Source organism: Homo sapiens, chromosome 10, assembly GCF_000001405.40.
Source record: "Homo sapiens chromosome 10, GRCh38.p14 Primary Assembly".
NCBI lineage: Eukaryota > Metazoa > Chordata > Mammalia > Primates > Hominidae > Homo > Homo sapiens.
The window spans coordinates 38,584,782-38,605,825 of record NC_000010.11 but is presented as its reverse complement, the minus strand read 5'-3'; the positions used below and the strand labels follow the sequence as shown (position 1 = coordinate 38,605,825).

At 42.0% G+C, this 21,044-nt stretch overlaps 1 pseudogene, besides 1 other annotated feature; it reads right to left on the bottom strand.

The window, feature by feature from the left end:
* On the bottom strand, positions 224-4,410 carry ABCD1P2 (ATP binding cassette subfamily D member 1 pseudogene 2; annotated as a pseudogene).
* Positions 10,036-10,537: an enhancer, noted in NCBI's record as "NANOG hESC enhancer chr10:38888420-38888921 (GRCh37/hg19 assembly coordinates)". NCBI's record gives its function as "activates a minimal SCP1, AML or CMV promoter by ChIP-STARR-seq in primed H9 embryonic stem cells {active_cell/tissue: H9 hESC(primed)}" and the evidence as "EXISTENCE:reporter gene assay evidence [ECO:0000049][PMID:30033119]".

Here is a 21,044-nt window from a genome sequence, read left to right as displayed (position 1 = left end):
GGTTCTGCCCTGCCACCGTCACAGGAATCCTAAGAGCATTGGCGTGAGGCTCGATGGAGGGCACGTTGGACCATGTCTTCTGGTGACTTTCCCCCACGGAGGGGCTTGGGGGTCAGGCCCACTCCTTTCCCAAACTCACTCTTTCCCCCACAGGCAACCCACTCTCTCTCCTCCATCTCTCCCCAAGACCCGCAGCAGACACCACCAGACTCTGAGGCAGGGGGGAAGGACTGCATTTGCCAATGGAGGCTTTTACGGGGGGGGGACTCGGGATGGCGCCCAGCCTGAAGGCTGAGGGCCCGGGAAAGGCACAAGGTGGCGGTGGGGTCTCTCTCGGGCAGGTGCTGGCTCTGCAGACAGCTCCCCCTGGTGACCCCTCTTTGGTACTGAGCTGGGAACATGGTGTCCGCACTCTCCGCTAGCAAGCAAAGGTCCGTGTGGCCAGGTGGTGGCTGGCAGTGTAGGCTGGCGGGGTGACGGCCACAGGGGCTGGGTTTGGCACCAGTGGGAGCCGGGGCCCCAGGGTACTCAGAGGCTGGGCCGTCCCCGCTGCTGGCAGGGTAGTCACATTGGCCACAGAGATGGCTATGAATAGGTAATCCAATAAATTAGACTGTAGAAAGAGGAGGTGAGGGGCCGAGGGGGCGGGGCCTACATTCTCTCTTGGCAGGCAGTGCTGTGTGTCCCTCTCCCATGGGATCTTCGGGGCTCTTGTGGGGGAGAGGATGCAGGTGAGGCGCTCCGTGTGACCGTGGGTACCACTGGGCGGCTTTTATGGCATCGCACGGGATGGGAGCCTTGGCTGGCCACCCTCAGGGGATGGACCATGGGGTCTTTGAGAGACTGACGAGGAGGGAGGCCACCTGCAGCACCAGGGGCTGTGGCCTGAGGGGCTCCTGGGACTCGGCTGCGCTGCTGTGTGGCCAGCACTGGGCCCCTTGTACCCCAGCTTCCTCTACGGAGCAAAGTAGAGGACTCACTGCCTTGGACAGGGCCCAGCCACTGTGGAATAGCCCCCCCAGGGAGTGGGAGGGACAGGGCTAGGGTTACGCAGGGTGCCACCCTCCACATCTACTTTCCCGAGGTCGGGAAGGGTCTTCTAAGAGGAGGGGCCAGGCATGCAGGGGCGGGGTGCGTGCGCAGGTGGGTGCTGCTGTCTCCTTCATGTGATTCGAGCTTGGGGGCGGGGAAGGGGCTGGAGAGGGTGGGGTCAGGTGGAGGCACCCTGGAGTCCACCAGGGCCTTGCAGGCTAGGTGCCGGCACGTGCGCTGGGGCCACGGCCTCGCCCAGGATTTGGCAGAGCTCCTGGAGGTGCCGCTGCATCTTGGGAATGCCCGCCAGCTGCTGCTCCAGCCGCTGCTTCTCCTCTGTCAGGCTCAGGTGGGCAGCTGAGTCCAGCTTCTCGAACTTCCAGCCACCCTCCCCATCGAACTGTAGCAAGTGTGTGTGGTACTCCCTGGCCAGGAGAGGGACAGGGTCAGGGGCACGGCACGAGGGCTGATGATGACAGCCGCCTGCTGCTGCCGCCTGGCCCAACAGGCCACCTCCTCCCCTCAGGCAGCCACTCCCACTGACCCCAGGCAGGGAGACAGGGCACCTACCACAGGGAGGGCTGGAGGGTGATGGAGAGCAGGGCAATGCCTGCGTCCTTGGCCACCTGGAAGATCTTGCCTTCCACGTCGATGCTCACGGCACTGGTGCCTTCATCCAGGAGGGCGTACTTGGGCCTGTGGGTCCGGTCCGAGAGAAGAGTCTGTGCACCCTCCAGGGCCCAACACCCCAGCCCGGCTCAGGCTCCACTGAGCCCAGGCCTCCCCACAGCTGCTACTTCTCCTTCCAGGGGACCCCAGGGAGGCTGCCAGCCTGGAGTGCTCACCTGTGGTAGAACATGCGGGCCATGCCGATTCTCTGCTTCTCACCACCTGGCAGGATGTCCTTCCAGTCACACATAGCCTCCCAACCTAGGAAGGGGCAATGGTCTTGGCTCAGTTCCACCAGTACCCAGACCTGGGGGCCAGCCGGGGAGCTGGGGAGCTGCGGGAATGGGCTAGCTGTGACGACAGGGCCCCTGTGCCTCTGCGTCCTTATCTGTCTGACAGGCATTAATCATGGAGGAGTGGGGACTGGAATCATGCCTTCCCCCAGAAGAGATATGGTGGAGTCCAAGCCCCAACACTTTAGTGTGACCTTATTTGGAGATAGGTCCTTTGCAGAGGTGATCACACTAAGATGAGGTCATCAGAGTGGACCCTAATTCAATATGACTGTGTCCTCATAAAAAGGGGGTGTGCGAGCAGAGGACGTGCACAGGGGAACACGAGGTGAAGATATACAGGGAGAAGTGGACCATCTGCGAGCCGAGGACAGAGGCCTGGAACACATCCTTCTGTCATGGCACCCGGAAGGAACCCACCCTGCTGGTACCAGGATCTCGGACTGCTGGAGCTAGGAGATGATCCACCCCTGTGGTTTATGGCAGCCCCAGGACAACCATACAGTTCCTTGGCACAGAGCTCCAGAGCGGCCTGAGTGCTCTCCCCAGACCGGGGGCTTGTCACCCACAGGGGTTGGGCCTCCTGTCACTGCCCCGTGCCAGCACTTTGGCAAGGCTCGAGTGGGCTGCTTGAACAAGCAGGTGAGCCGGCTGCTCCATTAGCCGGGGGACTGTGGCAGAAGTGGCCCCTCCTGTCTTCTCGCCCATGCTGCCTTCCCCAGCGGCCCAGGGCTAGAAGTGGCGACATGGTATATGGCCACCCAGAGTAGAGATTACGCTTCCCAGGTGGCCTTGTGGTGAGGTGTGAGCATGAGACTAAGTTGTGGTCAATAAGATATAACTGTAAGTATTCAATATGGCGGTTTCTGGAACCTTCCTTAAAAGACAGAAGGCACATACCTTTTGCCCCTTCCCTTCTACTTCCTCCATCCTACAGCCTGGGACATGATGTGAGGGCTGCAGCAGCCCTCCTGGATCATGAGGTGACTTTGGGAATGGAGGCCACACACAGCAGAGCGACATGGTCGAAAATCCTAGAGCCTTGGGGTCTTCACAGAGCAGGGCCTGCCCTGGCAACCGTGGCCTGGCTCTCTTGGGACCTAACAGCTCAGTAGGATAAACTCACAGATGATCTTAGCCACTACTGTGGGGAGGCTGGTTCTGTTCCTTGCAGCTCAACTCCATCCTAACGGCTCATGCTGGCCGGCCACAGGCCCTGGGCATTCAGGCTGCCACAGAGGTGGGAGAGGCCATATGCTCCCAGGCCAAGGGCAGCAGGAGCAAGAGGCAGGGCCTGGCCAGGGGCTGCTCCACCACCATCGCCACCTGTGTTCCCGCTTCCTCCACAGGCAGGTGACAACACCCTGGTCATTTCCTGCAGGAGCCACTTTTTCTCATGTTGCCACCGAGGGAGGGCTTGGTGCCTGTGCCCTTGAACCATGAAGGGGAGCTCCAGCAAGGCGAGGTCCTTGCCCAGGGCCATCTCGCACCCAGCAGTGGGGGCTGGAAGCAGAACCCAGAGGCTCAGAATTCAAAGACAGAACTGAACTTTCCATCTACTGTGTCCCTGTAGCTGCACCCCCCTCTCCTCCTCCGCTCTCCCGGCCCGACAGACACTGTGGACAAGCAGTATTCCTTGATAAGCCCAGGACAAGAAAACAGCTCAGTCTGGCCTCCTTTTCAGTGAACTCATCTCTGAATCCACCCGACTCTGCTGACCCCAGCCCCCTCCAAGCATCTGCACAGACCTCCTGACAGTAGCTATCACTGCACACATGTGCCTGCCCCTCCCAGGCTGCCCCTGCCCACCGCCCCATGGTCCTTCGAAGAGCGTCTGATCCTGCTCAGGGAATGCCTAGGCTCCCGCCTGGTCCGGAGGGCCCTCTGTGAGCCAGCCTCTCACACCACCAAGCCTTCGGGCCACACTCTGCCCTGCTGCCCCTGGCTCCTGGATGGGGTAACCACTTAGCATTCTGCAGGGCTCAGCTCAGACCCCTTTTTTCTGGGAGAGGGTATCCTGGGTCCCCCAATGAGGTGCGCATCCCTGCTAGGTGCCCCCTTCCCTAGAGCACCCATGCCACCTGGGACCATCTGTGTGGTGTTGGTCCTCCCTGGTAGGCGGGCCTCAGAGGTAGCACCCTCTGCCCTGCCCCTGTGGCACCTGGCACTTTAGACTCCTGGATGTTGAGATAATCTTCCCTCCCTGGAGGCCAAGGGAGAGGCCAGGGTGGGACAAAGGGCGGCTGCCAGCCCCAGGCCTCCTACCTCCCTCCCACTGCAGGATGTGGTGTGGGTGCACGATATCCAGGATGGCTTCCAGGTCCTGCTCCGAGTAGCCCTTCCTTCGCATGTCCTCCACTGAGTCCGGGTAGATCACCTGGTCACGCAGGGATCCCACAGACATGTAGGGCCTGTGGGAAACCTGGGTGTCCACGGAGGGAAGGGCCGGCCCTGCCTCCCCCAAGATACTCTGCGCCTCCCAGGCAGTGTAGATTCTGTCTGCTGTAGACAAAATAATGGCCCCCCAAAAACGTTCATGTCCTAATTCCCAGAGTCTAACATATAAATATGTTAGGTGGCTTGGCAGTGGGAAATTAGATTTCAAGTGAAATTAAGGTTGCAAAGGTGGCGGGGGCAAAAAGCCACGGCGGGCAAAAAGCCACGGCAGCAAAAAGCCGCGTAGGCGGGGGGGCAAAAAGCCGAGGCGGGGTGGGGGCAAAAAGCCACGGAGAGTAAAAAGCCGCGGGGGCAGGGGGTAAAAAGCCACGGCAGGGAAAAAGCCACGGCGGCGGGGGGGCAAAAACCCGGGTCGGCCAAAAAGCCACGGCGGCGGTTGTGCAAAAAGCTGGAGCGGGCAAAAAGCAGCGGCGACAAAAAGCCACGGCGGCGGAGGGGCAAAAAGCCGCGGCGGACAAAAAGCCATGGCAGCACCGGGGGGCTGCAAAAAGCCGCGGCGGCGGGGGGCAAAAAGCTGCGGGGGCGGGGGACAAAATGCCGCAGCAGGCAGGGGCAAAAGCCGCGACGGGTAAAAAGTCGCGGCGGCAGGGGGCAAAAAGCCGCGGCGGGGGGCAAAAAGCCGCGTCAACGGAGGACAAAAAGCCGCGTCGGCGGGGGGCAAAAAGCCACGGCGGGCAAAAAGCCGCGGCCGGGAGGGGGGCACAAAGCCGAGGCGGGGTGGGGGCAAAAAGACACCGTGGCGGGGGCTAAAAAGCCGGGTGAGGAAAAAGCCGCGGCGACGGGGAGCAAAAAGCCGTGGCGGACAAAAAGCCAAGGCAGGGTGGGGGCAAAAAGCCGCAGCGGGTAAAAAGCCACGGAGGCAGGGGGGAAAAAGCCACGGCGGGGAAAATGCCGCGGCGGCTGTGGGGCAAAAAGCTGCGGCGGCAGGGGGGCAAAAACCCAGGGCGGGCAAAAAGCCGAGGCGGGGTGGGGGGAAAAAGCCACGGCGGCGGGGGGGGCAAAAACCTGCGGCGGCAGGGGCAAAATGCCGCGGCGGCGGGGGGCGAAAAGCCGCGGCAGGTAAAAAGCCGCGGCGGCGAGGGGGCAAAAAGCCGGGGCAGGCAAAAAGCTGCGGCGGCGGAGGACAAAATAGTGGAGATGGGGTAGAAGGCTGGCACAGCTTGGCATTGCTGGAGTGTGATGTGATAGGAAATGTGCAGCCAAACACAAAAAAAGATGTAAGTAGGCTTGACTCATTGCAGCTAAGAACCCAGATGTTATCTTGAGGGTATTAACTAATAAGCAGTTTAAATCAGAATGGCACATTCTGATTTGTTTTTTGTGTGTTCACATTTGGCAGGCATAGATACTGTTTGAAGAGAGAAAAGTCAGTAGATAGCGGTAACAAACTTAAATATGTGCCAAGTCTAGAAACAAGAGACCAGGGGGATAAGGACCTTTCAAAATAAAATGCAAGATTTGAAAACTGATTGGCTGGAGGATGAGGAAAAGGCAGGTCTTTAAGGTCAATCCCTATTTTGCTTTAAGTTGTTAGGGGGTGGTTTTATCACATATTGTAGAATATGTCATTTCAGTTTTGAACATCTTGAGTTAAATTGTCCTAACATATCTTATGAATTTGATTTTCTTCCCTGGGAAGCTAATATTTCAAAAACTTAAAGAGTATAGATTTCTAACTTGTATCAAATTTATAAAACTATCTCTAGGCTGCTGATTTCAGGAGGAGGCTCATGAATATTCTCTTTGCAGAGAATATATCAGGAGTTAACAACAGCTTTAATATTTGTGGACGACCAGTTAACTAAGCCACCTCTTAGTGTATTTAGATGGGAAATCTTAGCTGAAGATATTCAATAATGAACCAACAGTGACTAAAAAATTCAATATTTAAGTATATTTCATTGTAATTAATCTGAATTGAAGTAGCCATATACAGCTAGTATTTACTATATTGAACAATGCAAATAAGAGGAAAAAAATTAATAACCATCTCTAATACCACATGCCAAAATCCTCGTCAATTTATTCTAGCTAAAGGAGTTTATCAGAAGCAGCAGTTGAAAGCACCAACTAAACCAGCTGGGGTTAGTTCACTGTCATTCTCTCAGAACCATCTCTTCTCTGAACAAAACAAGTACAAGAGTTCATTGTGAATCTGCATTCTCCTTGACTATTTTAAGGTTTTGATGTTGACACTAATTTGTGAAATCCCTCCTGTGGTGTGATATTTTGTTTTCCTTGCTTTCTGATAGGACAAGAATGCTTCAGCTCTTAATTTAAAATTATGTTTCTCCCTCCTACATTGAGTGAACTTAGAATGCATTCTCTGACATCCAAGTTTTTGTTAATATGAATTTGGGGAAAAAAGCATACTTAATTAGCTAAGACTTCTTATTCTAGGCTTGACCCTGTGTTCGACATCTTTTGAATTTCTAGTTGCATGGGCTGCTCTCTGACACTGGTTAGTGACCTGGAAGCTATATTAACGTTAGGGGAGGTGGTGTATGAGCATTAGAGGTATCCTTGCAAGGAAAGACTTGTCTTTTTTTTGCACACAAGAAAGTCAGTGTTTGAGTCCTCTAAAATCTTCCTATTTCCAAGTTGCAGAGTACCATTGATTCCTAAACAAAGACCTAATTTTTGACTTAGAGACGTGGCAAGGTAGTGACTCACCATTATAATTTAACAATCTTCAAGATAAAATTATCTCTGATATTTAAATTTTGCCCAATTATGAAGATATTTGGGTGTTTTGTTAAGAATGGAAGACTCTAGTCTCTTGAGCAGAGACTATAAAGGCCTCAGATGATCATTTTTAATTTTATGCTCTTTTCTTTAACACCTTCAACACAGTTGGAAGCAGCCAATATTCCCCAGAGTTGTGTTTTTTAAAGCAAATGCATAGTTCAGTGGTAGAAAACTGGGCTGATCCAAGCTGTTTTCAGTAAACATTTCAGGTGACCTATTACATATTAAATAATCTCTGGATCCTGTCTTCGAAACTAACTAGATCAGATAACCTGCCCTGGATTTTCTCCTTTTAGGGTCTGTGAGCTGCAGTCAGTTTTGTGAAAATGATTGCAATGACAAGATAGAGTTGTAGATGGGGAAAATGTTTTGACTAATTTAAGCATAGTGGTATTTCATATGAGAATTTAAGTTACACACATTTGAAAATTATAATGGATTCTCTTGGCTGAGCTTTAAAAAAAATAGCGTTTAGACTAAAAAGGGAACTGCTACCTCTCCTAAAATCAGAAAGATGTTACAGTAATTCTCCATTCTCTAGAACTATCAGAAAGCACCTTTGTGATGATTTACTTTTGCTCTTAGGAGTGTGAGCCCGTGTAGTCGTGGAACCATCAATTAGAATGGTGGCTTTCTGATCCCAAAGTCATTCGTTCTGAAATTCTTTTGAGCAAAAACAAAAACAAAAATATGACTATTAGTCACAAATTCAGTACAGTGAAAAAAAAGTTGAAGAGATATCTTGGAAGTAAACCATGTTGTGGAAGAGCATGTAGGGTTTTGATAATCATGGGATTATTCTGAATTAATTTTAAATGCGATAGGAATATATGAGATAATTTCACCAGAGAATAACATGATTGTGTTTGCATTTCAAAGGGGTGTATCTGGTGCACTGTGTAGAATAAATAGGTTATGTGAGCAAATAAATTGGGAGGCTACTGTAATCCAGAGAAAAAAGGTAGTGACTTAGGTGAGAATGCTGTCAGTATGAGTGGTAGTAGTGGTGAGAAGTCGTTAGGTCATGGATGTATTTCATAGGACTGGCCAAGAGAACTGCAGCTAAATTGGAGTGTAGGGAGTGAAATGGAGAACTCAAAGATGACTCTCAGCACTGGAAGATGACAGCTGTCACTGAAGCATGCTGATGCCTCTCATTAAGAGGGTTACTTGGGAATGACAAGCTTAAAACTTCTCACTTTCAAATTTATGAAAAATATTCTTTCACAAATATCAGTTTAATAATTTTATATTAAACTCCCTATATACTTACAATATGAATTAGATAATTCAGTATAAACATTCCAGTGGAAAAAACTAAACAATTTGTTATAAAACATCCTTAAAAGCATCAGAAAGTTAATACAGCAATGAAGAATTACAGGACCAAATTAAGAATGGTATGGAAGCCTGTTTGTGAGGCTTATGTTTGGGTTATCTCTTTACTTAGAGTGACTATAAATCTCAAAAGAGAACTAAAGGGAGAAATAACCATATCAACTCACATGGCAAGGGTATTTAAACATCTCTTAGTAATTGAGATAATTGAAAGAAAAGAAAAAAGAGAAAGGGAGAAAGAGAAAAAGAGTGAAAGGGATAATGAAGGAGAGACAGAAGAAGAGAAAGGAAGAGGAAGAAAAGTAAAAAGGAGGAGGAAAGGGAGGGAGGAAGAAAGAAAGGTGAAAAGAAGGAATGCTAAAGTTTTCAACAACATAATTTATCCTTCTAGAATATGAATGTTGGTCTATTTGATGATGTCCCACAGATTCCTTAGTCTCTGCTCATTTTTTATCTGTTTCTGAGTCAATGTTTTCCATTTTCTTATCTTCAAGCTCATGACTTCTTCTGTGTGTGCAAATATACTCTTAAATCCCTCTGGTGATTTTTAAATTTTTATCGTTGTAGTTTTCCACTCCAGAATTTCTGCTATCTCTGTTGATATTCCTACTTTTTAATATTTGTTCTGATTCCTTGATTTCTTTGTTTATGTTTTCCTTTTGACATTTGAGTATAATGAAGAGAGTTGTTTTAAAGTCTTTGTCTAGTAAGTTTGATGTCTGGATTCCCTTAGAGATATTCTCTGTCAATTTGTTTTGTTCCTTTCAATGAGCCATACTTTCCCATTCTTTGTATGCCTTGTAACTTTTTTTGAAAACTGTACATTATAATAATTATAATTACTATGTGGTTACTCTGTAAATCAGGCCCCCCCTACAAACACAGTAATGTTTTGTGGTTTTAAATTTTCTTTACTTATTATATTGTTAAGGATTTTTTTTTAGTGAAATTTTCCAAAGTGATTTACAAAACTGTTTGCTTTATAAGGTGTGGTCACCAAAGTCTTTTTGTTTCCATAACAAATGTTAAGCTAATGTTTTGACAGTGATTTTCTTGTATGTCAGGAACCAATCAAACAGGCAAATACAAGATAAACAAAAAGAAAAACAAGGAATCGTTGTCCAGCAAAATATGTCTCTAGGCCATGCAGACTGGCTTTGTGCTGGGTTCTTTAAAGCTGCACAAAGTGTGTGTTCACTCTTTCACTGAGTAAAGTTCAAGTTCACTTATGCACAGAGCTTGCACGGAGGGGAGGGATTGGCCAAGGTAAAAGTGTAGGGTCTGTTTATGACATTTGTCAGCATGTGGCTTAACCTATGAATACAAGTGACTTTCTAGACTCTCCCATGTATGTGAATGATTTTGTATGTCTTAGTTTTTGAAATACTCTTCTCCAACTTTTCTTGCTGTGCTGAAGGTGATCTACTATATGTGTAAACTCTAATTTTTGCCCTAAGCATCTGTGGTTTGTTAGGTCTCCTTGCATTTTCTTACAAATGTCCATTCCTTATCTGTTCTGTATTCTAGCAACACAGAAAAAAAGCCTTTCATGAGTCCTTTAGATATCCCCAGACCTATCAGAACAGACACTCGAGTCCATTCAATGATTCCACTCAATTCCATTAGATGATGATTCCATTTGAGTCCATTCGATGATTCCATTCGATTCCATTTGATGATGATTCCATTCGAGTCCATTCGATGATTCTATTCGATTCCATTCAATGATTTTCCTTTTCGTTTCCATTCGATGATGATTCAATTCGATTCCATTCAATGATGATTCCATTAGATTCCATTTGATGATGATTCCATTTGATTCCTTTCAATGATGATTCCATTTGATTACATTTGGTGATTATTCCTTTCGAGTCCATTTGATGATGATTCCATTCCAGTACATTCGATGATATTTCCATTCTATTCCATTCAATGATGATTCCATTCGTGTCCATTCGATGATGATTCTATTCCATTCCATTCGATGATGATTCCATTAGATTCCATTCAATGATTCCATTCGATTCCATTCGATGATGATTCCATTCGATTCCATTCTATGATGATTCCCTTAGAGCCCATTCGATGTTTCCACTCGATTCCATTCGATTATGTTTCCATTTGATTCCATTCGATGATTCCATTTGATTCAATGCGATGATGATTCCATTCGGTTCCATTTGATTTATTCCACTCAATTCCATTCGATGTTTTGTTTTGATACCATTCGATGATGATTCCATTAGATTCCATGTGATGATGATTCCATTCGATTCCATAAGAAGATGATTCCATTTGATACCATTTCATGATTGCATTCGATTCCATTCGATGATGATTCCATTGGATTCCATCGGATGACTCCTTTTGATTCCATTTGATGACTCCATTCGATTCCATTAGATGATTCCATTCGATTCCATTTGATGATTCCATTCGATTCCATTCGATGATGATTCCAGTCTATTCCATTCAATTATGATTCCATTTGATTCCATTTTATGATTCCATTCGATTCCATTTGATTCCATTTGATTCCATTCCATGATTCCATTCGATTCCATTCGATGATGATTCCATTCAATTCCATTCAGTGATTCCACTCGATTCCATTCGATGATTCCATTTGATTCCATTCGATGATTCCATTTGATTCCATGCAATTATGATGCCATTCAATTCCATTCCATGATTCCTTTCGATTCCTTTCTATGATGATTCCATTCGATTCCCTTTGATGATTCCATTCGATTCCATTCTAGGATTTCATTCGATTCCATTCGATGATTACTCCAATCGATTCCTTTCAATGATTCCGTTCAATTCCATTCGATGATGATTCCATTCGATTCCATTCGATTATGATTGCATTTGATTCCATTCGATGTTTCTTTTCGATTTCATTCGATGATGATTCCATTCAATGATTCCATTCGATTCCATTCCGTGATGATTCCATTCACTTCCATTTGATTTATTCCATTCGATTCCATTTGATGTTTCATTTTGATAACATTCGATGATGATTCCATTAGATTCCATGTGATGATGATTCCATTTGATTCCATGCGAATATGATTCCATGTGATACCATTTCATGATTGCATTTGATGCCATTCAATGATGATTCCATTTGATTCCATTCAATGATGATTCCAGTCGATTCCATTCGATTATGATTCCAATCGATTCCATTCTATGATTCCATTCGATTCCATTCGATGATTCCATTCACTTCCATTCAATGACGATTCCATGCGATTCCATTCGATCCTTCCATTTGATTCCATCTGATGATGATTCCATTCGATTTCATTCAATGATTCCATTTGATTCCATTTGATGATGATTCCATTCGATTCCATTCGATGACTCCATTCGATTCCATTTGAGGATTTCATTCCATTGCATTTGATGTTTATTCCATTCGATTCTTTTTGATGATTCCATTTGATTCCATTCGATGATGATTCCATTCAATTCCATTCGATGATGATTGCATTCGATTCCATTTGATGGTTTTTTCGATATCATTCGATGATGATTCCAGTCGATGATTCCATTTGATTACATTCGATGATGATTCCATTCTATTCCATTCGATTTATTCCATTCGATTCCATTCGATGATTCCTTTCAATACCATTCGATGATGATTCCATTCGATTCCATGTGATGATGATTCCATTTGATTCCATTCATTTATTCCATTCGATTCCATGTGATGTTGATTCTACTCGATTCCATTCGATGATTCCATTCAATTGCATTCGATGATAATTGCATTAATTCCATTTGATGATTCTTTTTGATTCCATGCGATGATGATTCCATTCAATTCCATTCGATGATGATTCCTGTGGATTCCATTCGATGATTCCTGTCGATTGCATTCAATGATGATTCATTTGATTCCATTCTATTAATCTATTTGATTAAATTGGAGGATTCCGTTCAATTCCATTCGATGAGGATTCCAATCAATTCCACTCAATGATTCCATTTGATTCCATTCGATGATGATTTCATTCGATTCCATTCAATAAATCCTTTCGATTCCATTCCATGATGATTCCATTTGATTCCATTCGATGATTTCATTCGATTCCATTGGAAGTTGATTTCATTCAATTCCATGTGATGATGATTCCATTCGATTCCATTGGATGACTCCATTAAATTCCATTCGATGATGATTCCATTCAATTCCATTCGATGATTTCATTTGATTGCAGTCTATGATTCCATTCGATTCCATTTGATGATTCCATTCAATTCCATGGGATGATTCCATTTGATGATGACACCATTTGATTCCATTCGGTGATTCCATTTTATTCCATTTGATAATTGCATTCAATGATTATTCCATTCTATTCCATATGGTGATTCCATTTGCTTCCATGTGATGATGTTTCCATTTGATTCCATTGCATGAATCTATTTGATTCCATTCGAAGATGATTCCATTTGATTCCTTTCAATGATTCCATTCGAGGATTTCATTCGATTCCATTGGATGTTTTTTCAATTAGATTCCTTTCAATGATTCCATTTGATTCCATGCAATGATGATTCCATTCGATTCCATTCGATGATTTTTTTCGATTTCATTCAATGATGATTCCATTTGATGATTCCATTTGATTCCATTCGATGATGATTCCATTTGGTTCCATTTGATTTATTCCATTCGATTCCATTCGATGGTTCATTTCAATACCACTCGATGATGATTCCATTTGATTCCATGTGATGATGATTCCATTCGATTCCATTCAATTATTCCATTTGATTCCATGCAATGATGATTCCATTCGATTCCGTGCGATGATTCCTTTCTATTCCATTCTAGGATTTCATTCGATTCCATGTGATGGTGATTCCATTTGATTCCATTCAATTATTCCATTTGATTCCATGCAATGATGATTCCATTCGATTCCGTGCGATGATTCCTTTCGATTCCATTCTAGGATTTCATTCGATCTCATTTGATGATTATTCCATTCGATTCCTTTTGAAGTTTCCATTCGATTCCTCTTGATGATGATTCCATTCGATTCCATTCTATGATGATTGCATTCAATTCAATTCAATGATTCTTTTTGATTTCATTCAATGATGATTCCATTCGATGACTCCATTCAATTCCATTCGAATATGATTCCATTCGAATATGATTCCATTCTATTCCATTCGAGTTATTCCTTTCAATTCCATTCTATGATTCCTTTTGATAACATTCAATGATGATTCCATTCGATTCCATGTGATGATGATTCCATACAATTCCATGTGATGATGATTCCATTCAAGTCCATTTGATAATTCCATTCAATTGCATGTGATGATGACTGAATTCAATTCCATTGGATGACTCCATTTGATTCCATTTGATGATTATTCCATTCGAATCCATTCAGTGATTCCATTCAGTTCCATTCGATGATTCCATTTGATTCCATCGGATGATTCCATTCGATGAAGACACCATTCGATACCATTCGATGATTCCATACGATTCCATTCGATGATTCCATTTGATAATTGTTAAATTCGATTCCACTTGTTGATTCCATTCGAATCCATTCGATGATGATTCCATTCAATTCCATTTGTTGATTCCATTTGGTTCCATTTGATGATGATTCCATTTGATTCCTTTTGATGATTCCAATTGATTCTATTCGATGATTCCACTCAATTCCATTCGATGATGATTCCATTCAATTCCATTCGATGATTCCACACGATTCCATTTGATGATGATTCCATTCGATTCCATTTGATTATGATTTCATTCAATTCCATTGGATGATTCCACTCGATTCCATTCGATGATGATTCCATTCGATTCCATTCAATGATCCTGTTCGATTCCATTCTATAATTCCGTTCAATTCCATTCGAGGATTCCATTCAATTCCGTTGAATGATTATTCAATTCCTTTCAATGATTCCATTCGATTCCATTCGATGTTGATTGCATTAGATTCCATTGGATGATGATTCCATTCAATGATTCCATTCCATTCCACTCAATGATTCCATTTGATTCCATTCGATGATTCTGTTCGATTCCATTGGATTGTTCCATTTGATTCCGTTCGATGATTCCATTCGATTCCATTCAATGACTATTCCATTCGATTCCTTTCAATGGTTCCATTCAATTTCATTCGATGATGATTCCTTTTGATTAAATTCGATGATGATTGCAATTGTCTTCATTCGATGATCTTTTTCAATTTCATTCATTGATGATTCTATTCAATGATTCAATTCAATTCCATTCGATGATGATTCCATTCGATTCCATTCAATTTATTCCATTCAATTCCATTCGACGTTTCCTTTCGATACCATTTCATGATGATTCCATTCGATTCCATGTGATGATGATTCCATTCGATTCCACGCGATAATGATTCCATTCGATTCCATTCCATGATTGCATTCAATTCCATTTTATGATGATTCCATTTGATTCCATCAGATTACTCCATTCAATTCCATTGGATGATTATTCCATTCGATTCCATTTGATGATTCCATTTGATTCCATTTTCTGATTCCGTTTGTTTTCATTGGATGATTCCATTCTAGGATGACACCATTCGATTCCATTTGATGATTCCACCCGATTCCATTAGATGTTTCCATTCAATGATTTTTCCATTCGATTCCATTGGATGATTCCATTTGATTCCATTCGATGATTCCATTTGACTCCATTCGATGATGATTCCATTCAATTTCATTTGATGATTCCATTCGATTCCATTCAATGTTTCCTTTTGATTCCATTCAATGATGATTCCAGTTGATTCCATTCGATGATGATTCCATTCGATTCCGTTCTATGATTCCATTTGATTCCATTTGATGATGAGTCCATTCGATTCCATTCAATGATTGCTTTCCATTCCATTTGAGGTTTTCATTCAATTCCATTTGATGAATGTTCCATTCGATTCCTTTCAATGACTCCATTCGATTCCATTCGATGACGATTCCATTCAATTCCATTCAATGATGATTCCATTCAATTCCATTCGATGATTCCATTAGATTCCATTCGATGACGATTCCATTCGATTCATTCGATGACTCCATTCGATTCCATTCAATGATTCCATTCGATTCCATTTGATGATTATTCCATTCAATTCCATTTGATGATTCCATTTGATTCCATGTGATGATGATTCCAATTGATTCCATTCCATGATTCCATTCGATTCCATTCATTGATGATTCCATTCGATTCCATTCGATGATGATTCCATTCGATTCCATGTGATGATTCCATTTGATTCCATTTTATTATTCCATCTGATTAAATGCGATGTTGAATCTACTCGATTCCTTTTGATGATTCCAATCAATTTCATTCGATGATGATTGCATTAATTCCATTTGATGATTCTTTTTGATTCCATTTGATGATGATTCCATTAGATTATTCCATTCGATTCCATTCCATAATGATTCCATTGGATTCCATTCGATGATTCATGTCTATTGCATTCGATGATGATTCATTCGATTCCATTTGATGATTCCATTCGATTAAATTGGAGGATTCCATTCGATTCCATTCGATGAGGATTCATTCGATTCCATTCAATGATTCCATTCTATTCCATTCCATGATGATTCCATTCGATTCCATTTGATCATTCCATTCAATTCCATTGGAAGTTGATTTCAGTCGAATACATTCGATGATGATTCCTTGGGATTCCAATAGATGATTATTACATTTGATTCCATTCGATGATGATTGCATTCAATTACATTAGATGATACTTTTTGATTTCATTCAATGATGATTCCATTCGATGATTCCATTCAATTCCATGCAATGATGATTCCATTCGATTCCATTCTATTTTTTCCTTTTGATTCCATTCTATGTTTCCTTTTGACACCATTTGATGATGATTCCATCCTATTCCATGTGATGGTGATTCCATTTGATTCCATTCGATGATGATTCCATTCATGTCCATTCGATGATTGCACTCGACTCCTTTTGATGATGATTCCACATGAGTCCGTTAGATGATTCCATTTGATTCCATTGGATGATGATTCCATTTGATGCCATTCAATGATTCCATTCGATTCCATTCAATGATACCATTCCATTCCATTCAATGATGATTCCTTTCCAGTCCATTCAATGATTGCATTCGATTCCATTCAATCATTGCATTCAAGACCATTCGACGATTCCATTCGATTCCATTCGATGATGATTCCAATCGATTCCATTCGATGATTCCTTTCGATTCCATTCGATAATTCCAATCGATTCCATTTGATGATTCCTTTCGAATCCATTCGATGATGAGTCCATTCGCTTCAATTCCATGATGATTCCATTCAATTCAATTCGATGTTGTTTCCATTTGATTCCATTTGATGTTGATTCCATTCGATTCCATTGGATGATGATTCCATTCGAGTCCATTCGATGATGATTCCATTCCATTTATTTTGATGATTCCATTCGATTCCATTCGATGATGATTCCATTCCATGAATCCATTCAATTCCATTCTATGATGATTCCATTCGTTTCCATCTGATGATTATTCCATTTGATTCCATTCAATGATACCATTCGATTCCATTTGATGATTATTCCAATCAATTCCATTCGATGATTCCATTCAAATCCATTCGATGATGAGTTCATCCATTTCAATTCCATGATGATTCCATTCCATTCAATTCAATGGTGTTTCCATTCGATTCCATTTGATGTTGATTCCATTCGATTCCATTGGATGATGATTCCATTCGAGTCCATTCGTTGATGATTCCATTCACGTCCATTTGATGATGATCACATTCGATTTCATTTGATAATTCTATTCGATTCCATTCGATGATGATTCCATCTGATTCCATTCAATGATTCCATTTGATTCCATTCGATGATTATTCCATTCGTTTCCATCTGATGATGATTCCTTTCAATTCCATTTGATGATTCCATTCGAGTAAATTCAATGTTTCCATTCGATACCATTTGATGATGATTCCATTCGAGTCCATTCCATGATTCCATTCGAGTCCATTCAATGATTCCATTCGAGTCCATTCCATGATTCCATTCGAGTCCATTCAATGATTCCATTCGATGAAGATTCCATTTGAGTCCATTCGATGATTCCATTTGATTCCATTTGATGACGATTACTTTCGAGTCCATTGGATGATTCCATTTGATTCCATTTGATGATGATTCCATTCGAGTCCATTCCATGATTCCTTTCAATTCCATTCGATGATGATTCCATTCGAGTCCATTTATTATTCCATTCCTTTCCATTTGATGATTCCATTCGAGTCCATTCGATGATTCTATTTGATTCCATTCGATAATTCCGTTCAATTCCATTTGATGTTGATTCCATTCGAGTCCATTTGATGATTATTCCATTCGATTCTATTCGATGATTCCATTCGATTCCATTTGATGATGATTCCATTCGAGACCATTCAATAATTCCATTGAATTCATTTGATAATGATTCTGTTCAATTCCATTCAATGATTCCATTAGATTCCATTTTGATGATGATTCCATTCAATTCCATTTGATGATGTTTCCATGCGATTCCATTCGATGATGACTCCTTTCGGTCCATTCGATGATGATTCCATTTGGTTGCATTCGATGATGATTCCCTTGTATTCCATTCGATGATGATTCCATTCGATTCCATTTGCTGATGATTCTTTTTGATTGCATTCAATGATGTTTCCATTCGATTCCATTCAATGATTCCATTCGTTCCCATTCAATGATGATTCCATTCGAGTTCATTGATTATTCCATTACATTCCATTTGATGATTGCATTCGAGTCCATTCATTGATTGCATTTGAGTCCATTCGATGATTCTATTCGATTCCATTCGATAATTCCGTTCGATTCCATTTGATGATGATTCCATTCGAGTCCATTCAATGATTATTCCATTCGATTTTATTCGGTGATTACATTCGATTCCATTTGATAATTATTCCTTTCGAGACCATTCAATGATTCCATTCAATTCATTCTGTGATGATTCCATTCAATTCCATTCGATGATTCCATTCGAGTCCATTTGATAATTCCATTCAAGTCCATTCAATGAAGATTCCGTTCGATTCCATTTGATGATGATTGCATTCGGGTCCGTTTGATGATTCCATTTGCTTCCATTCGATGGGGATTCCATTCGTTTCCATTCGATTATTCCATTCGATTCCATTCGATGAGGATTCCATTACTGTCTGTTAGATGATTCCATTCGATTCCATTCAATGATGATTCCATATGATTCCATTCATTAATTCCATTCCATTCCATTGGATGATGATTCCATTCATGTCCATTTGATGATTCTTTACAAATCCATTCGATTTTTGCTTTTGATTCCATTCCATGATGATTCCATTCGGTTCCATTTGATGATGATCCCATTCGATACCATTCTATGGTTCCATTTGATTCTATTCGATGATGATTCCATTCGATTCCATTGGATGATTCTATTTGATTCTGTTTGAGATGATTGCATTCTATTCCAATCGATGATTCAATTTGATTCCATTCGATGATGATTCCATTTGATTCCATTCAATGAGTCCATTCGATTCCATTCAATGATGATTCCATTTGATTCCATTTGATGACTCCATTCCATTCCATTCAATGATGATTCCATTCGATGTCATTCGATGATTCCATTCGATTCCATTTGATTATGATTCCATTCCAGTCTCTTCGATGATTCCATTAGATTCCATTTGATGATGATTCCATTCGAGTCCATTTGATGATTCCATTCGATTCCATTCAATGATGATTCCACTCGAGTCCATTCAATGATGATTCCACTCGAGTCCATTCGATGATTCCATTCGAGTCCATTTGATTATTCCTTTAGATTCCATTCATTCATTATTCTATTCAATGTCATTCGATGGTTCCATTTGATTCCATTCAATGATGATTCCATTTGAGTCCATTCGATGATTCCATTTGATTCCATTCAATGATGATTCCATTTGTGTCTATTCGATGATTCCATTCGATTCTATTCCATGATGATTACATTCGAGTCCATTCGATGATTCCTTTCTTTTCCATTCGATGGTGATTCTATTCGAATCCATTCGATGATTCCATTCGTTTCCATTCGATGATTCCATTCCGTTCCTTTTGATGATGATTCCATTGGATTCCATTCGTTGATGATTCCATTAGATTCCATTTGATTATGATTCCATTTGATTCCATTCAATGATGATTCCATTCGTTTTCATTTGATGATTCTATTCAATTCCATTAGATGATGATTCCTTTCTATTCCATTTGATGATTCCATTAGATTCCATCCGATGAGGATTCAAATCAATTCCGTTTGATGATGATTCCATTCAATTCCATTAAATGAAAATTCCATTCGTGTCCATTTGATTATTCCATTCATTTCCATTCGATGATGATTCCATTCGCATCCATTAGATGACTCCTTTCAATTCGATTCAATGATGATTCTATTTGATGCCATTTGATGATTCCATTTGATTCCATTCGATGATGATTCCATATGATTCCATTTGATGATTCCATTCGATTCCATTCTATTATGATTGCATTCGATTCCATTCGCTGATTCCATTTGATTCTATTTGATGATGATTTCATTCGAGTCCATTCGACATTTCCATTCCATTCCATTCGATGATGGTTCATTCGATTCCATTTGATGATTCTATTTGATTCCATTTGATGATTCCATTCGAGTCCATTCGATGATTTCTTTCTATTCCATTCGATGATTCACTTCGATTCCTTTAGATGATGATTCCATTCTATTCAATTCGATGATGATTCCATTCACTTCCATTCGATAATTCCATTCGATTCCATTAGATGATGATTCCATTCGATTCCATTTGTTGATTCCATTTGATTCCTTTGGATGATGATTCTTTTTGAATCCATTTGATGATTCCATGGGATTTCATTCAATGGTGACTCTATTCAATTCCATTCGATGATTCCATTCATTTCCATTCGATGATGATTGCATTGCATTCCATTCGATGATTCCATTCGATTCCATGTGATGATGATTCCATTCGAGTCCTTTCGATGATTCCATTCGGTTCCATTCCGTGAGGATTCCATTCGTGTCCATTCTATGACACAATTAGATTCCTTTCAATGAAGATTCCATTCCAGTTCATGAGATAATTCCATTCGATGATGATTTCATTTGATTCCTTTTGATTTTTCCATTCGATTTCATTCGATGATGTTTTTATTCGAGTCCATACGATGATTCCATTCGATTCCATTCAATGATTATTCCTTTCGAGTCCTTTCGAAGATTCCATTCAATGTCATTCGATTTTGATTCCATTCGTGTCCATTCGATGATTCCACTGGATTCCATTCGATGATTCCATTCGATTCCATTCGCTGAT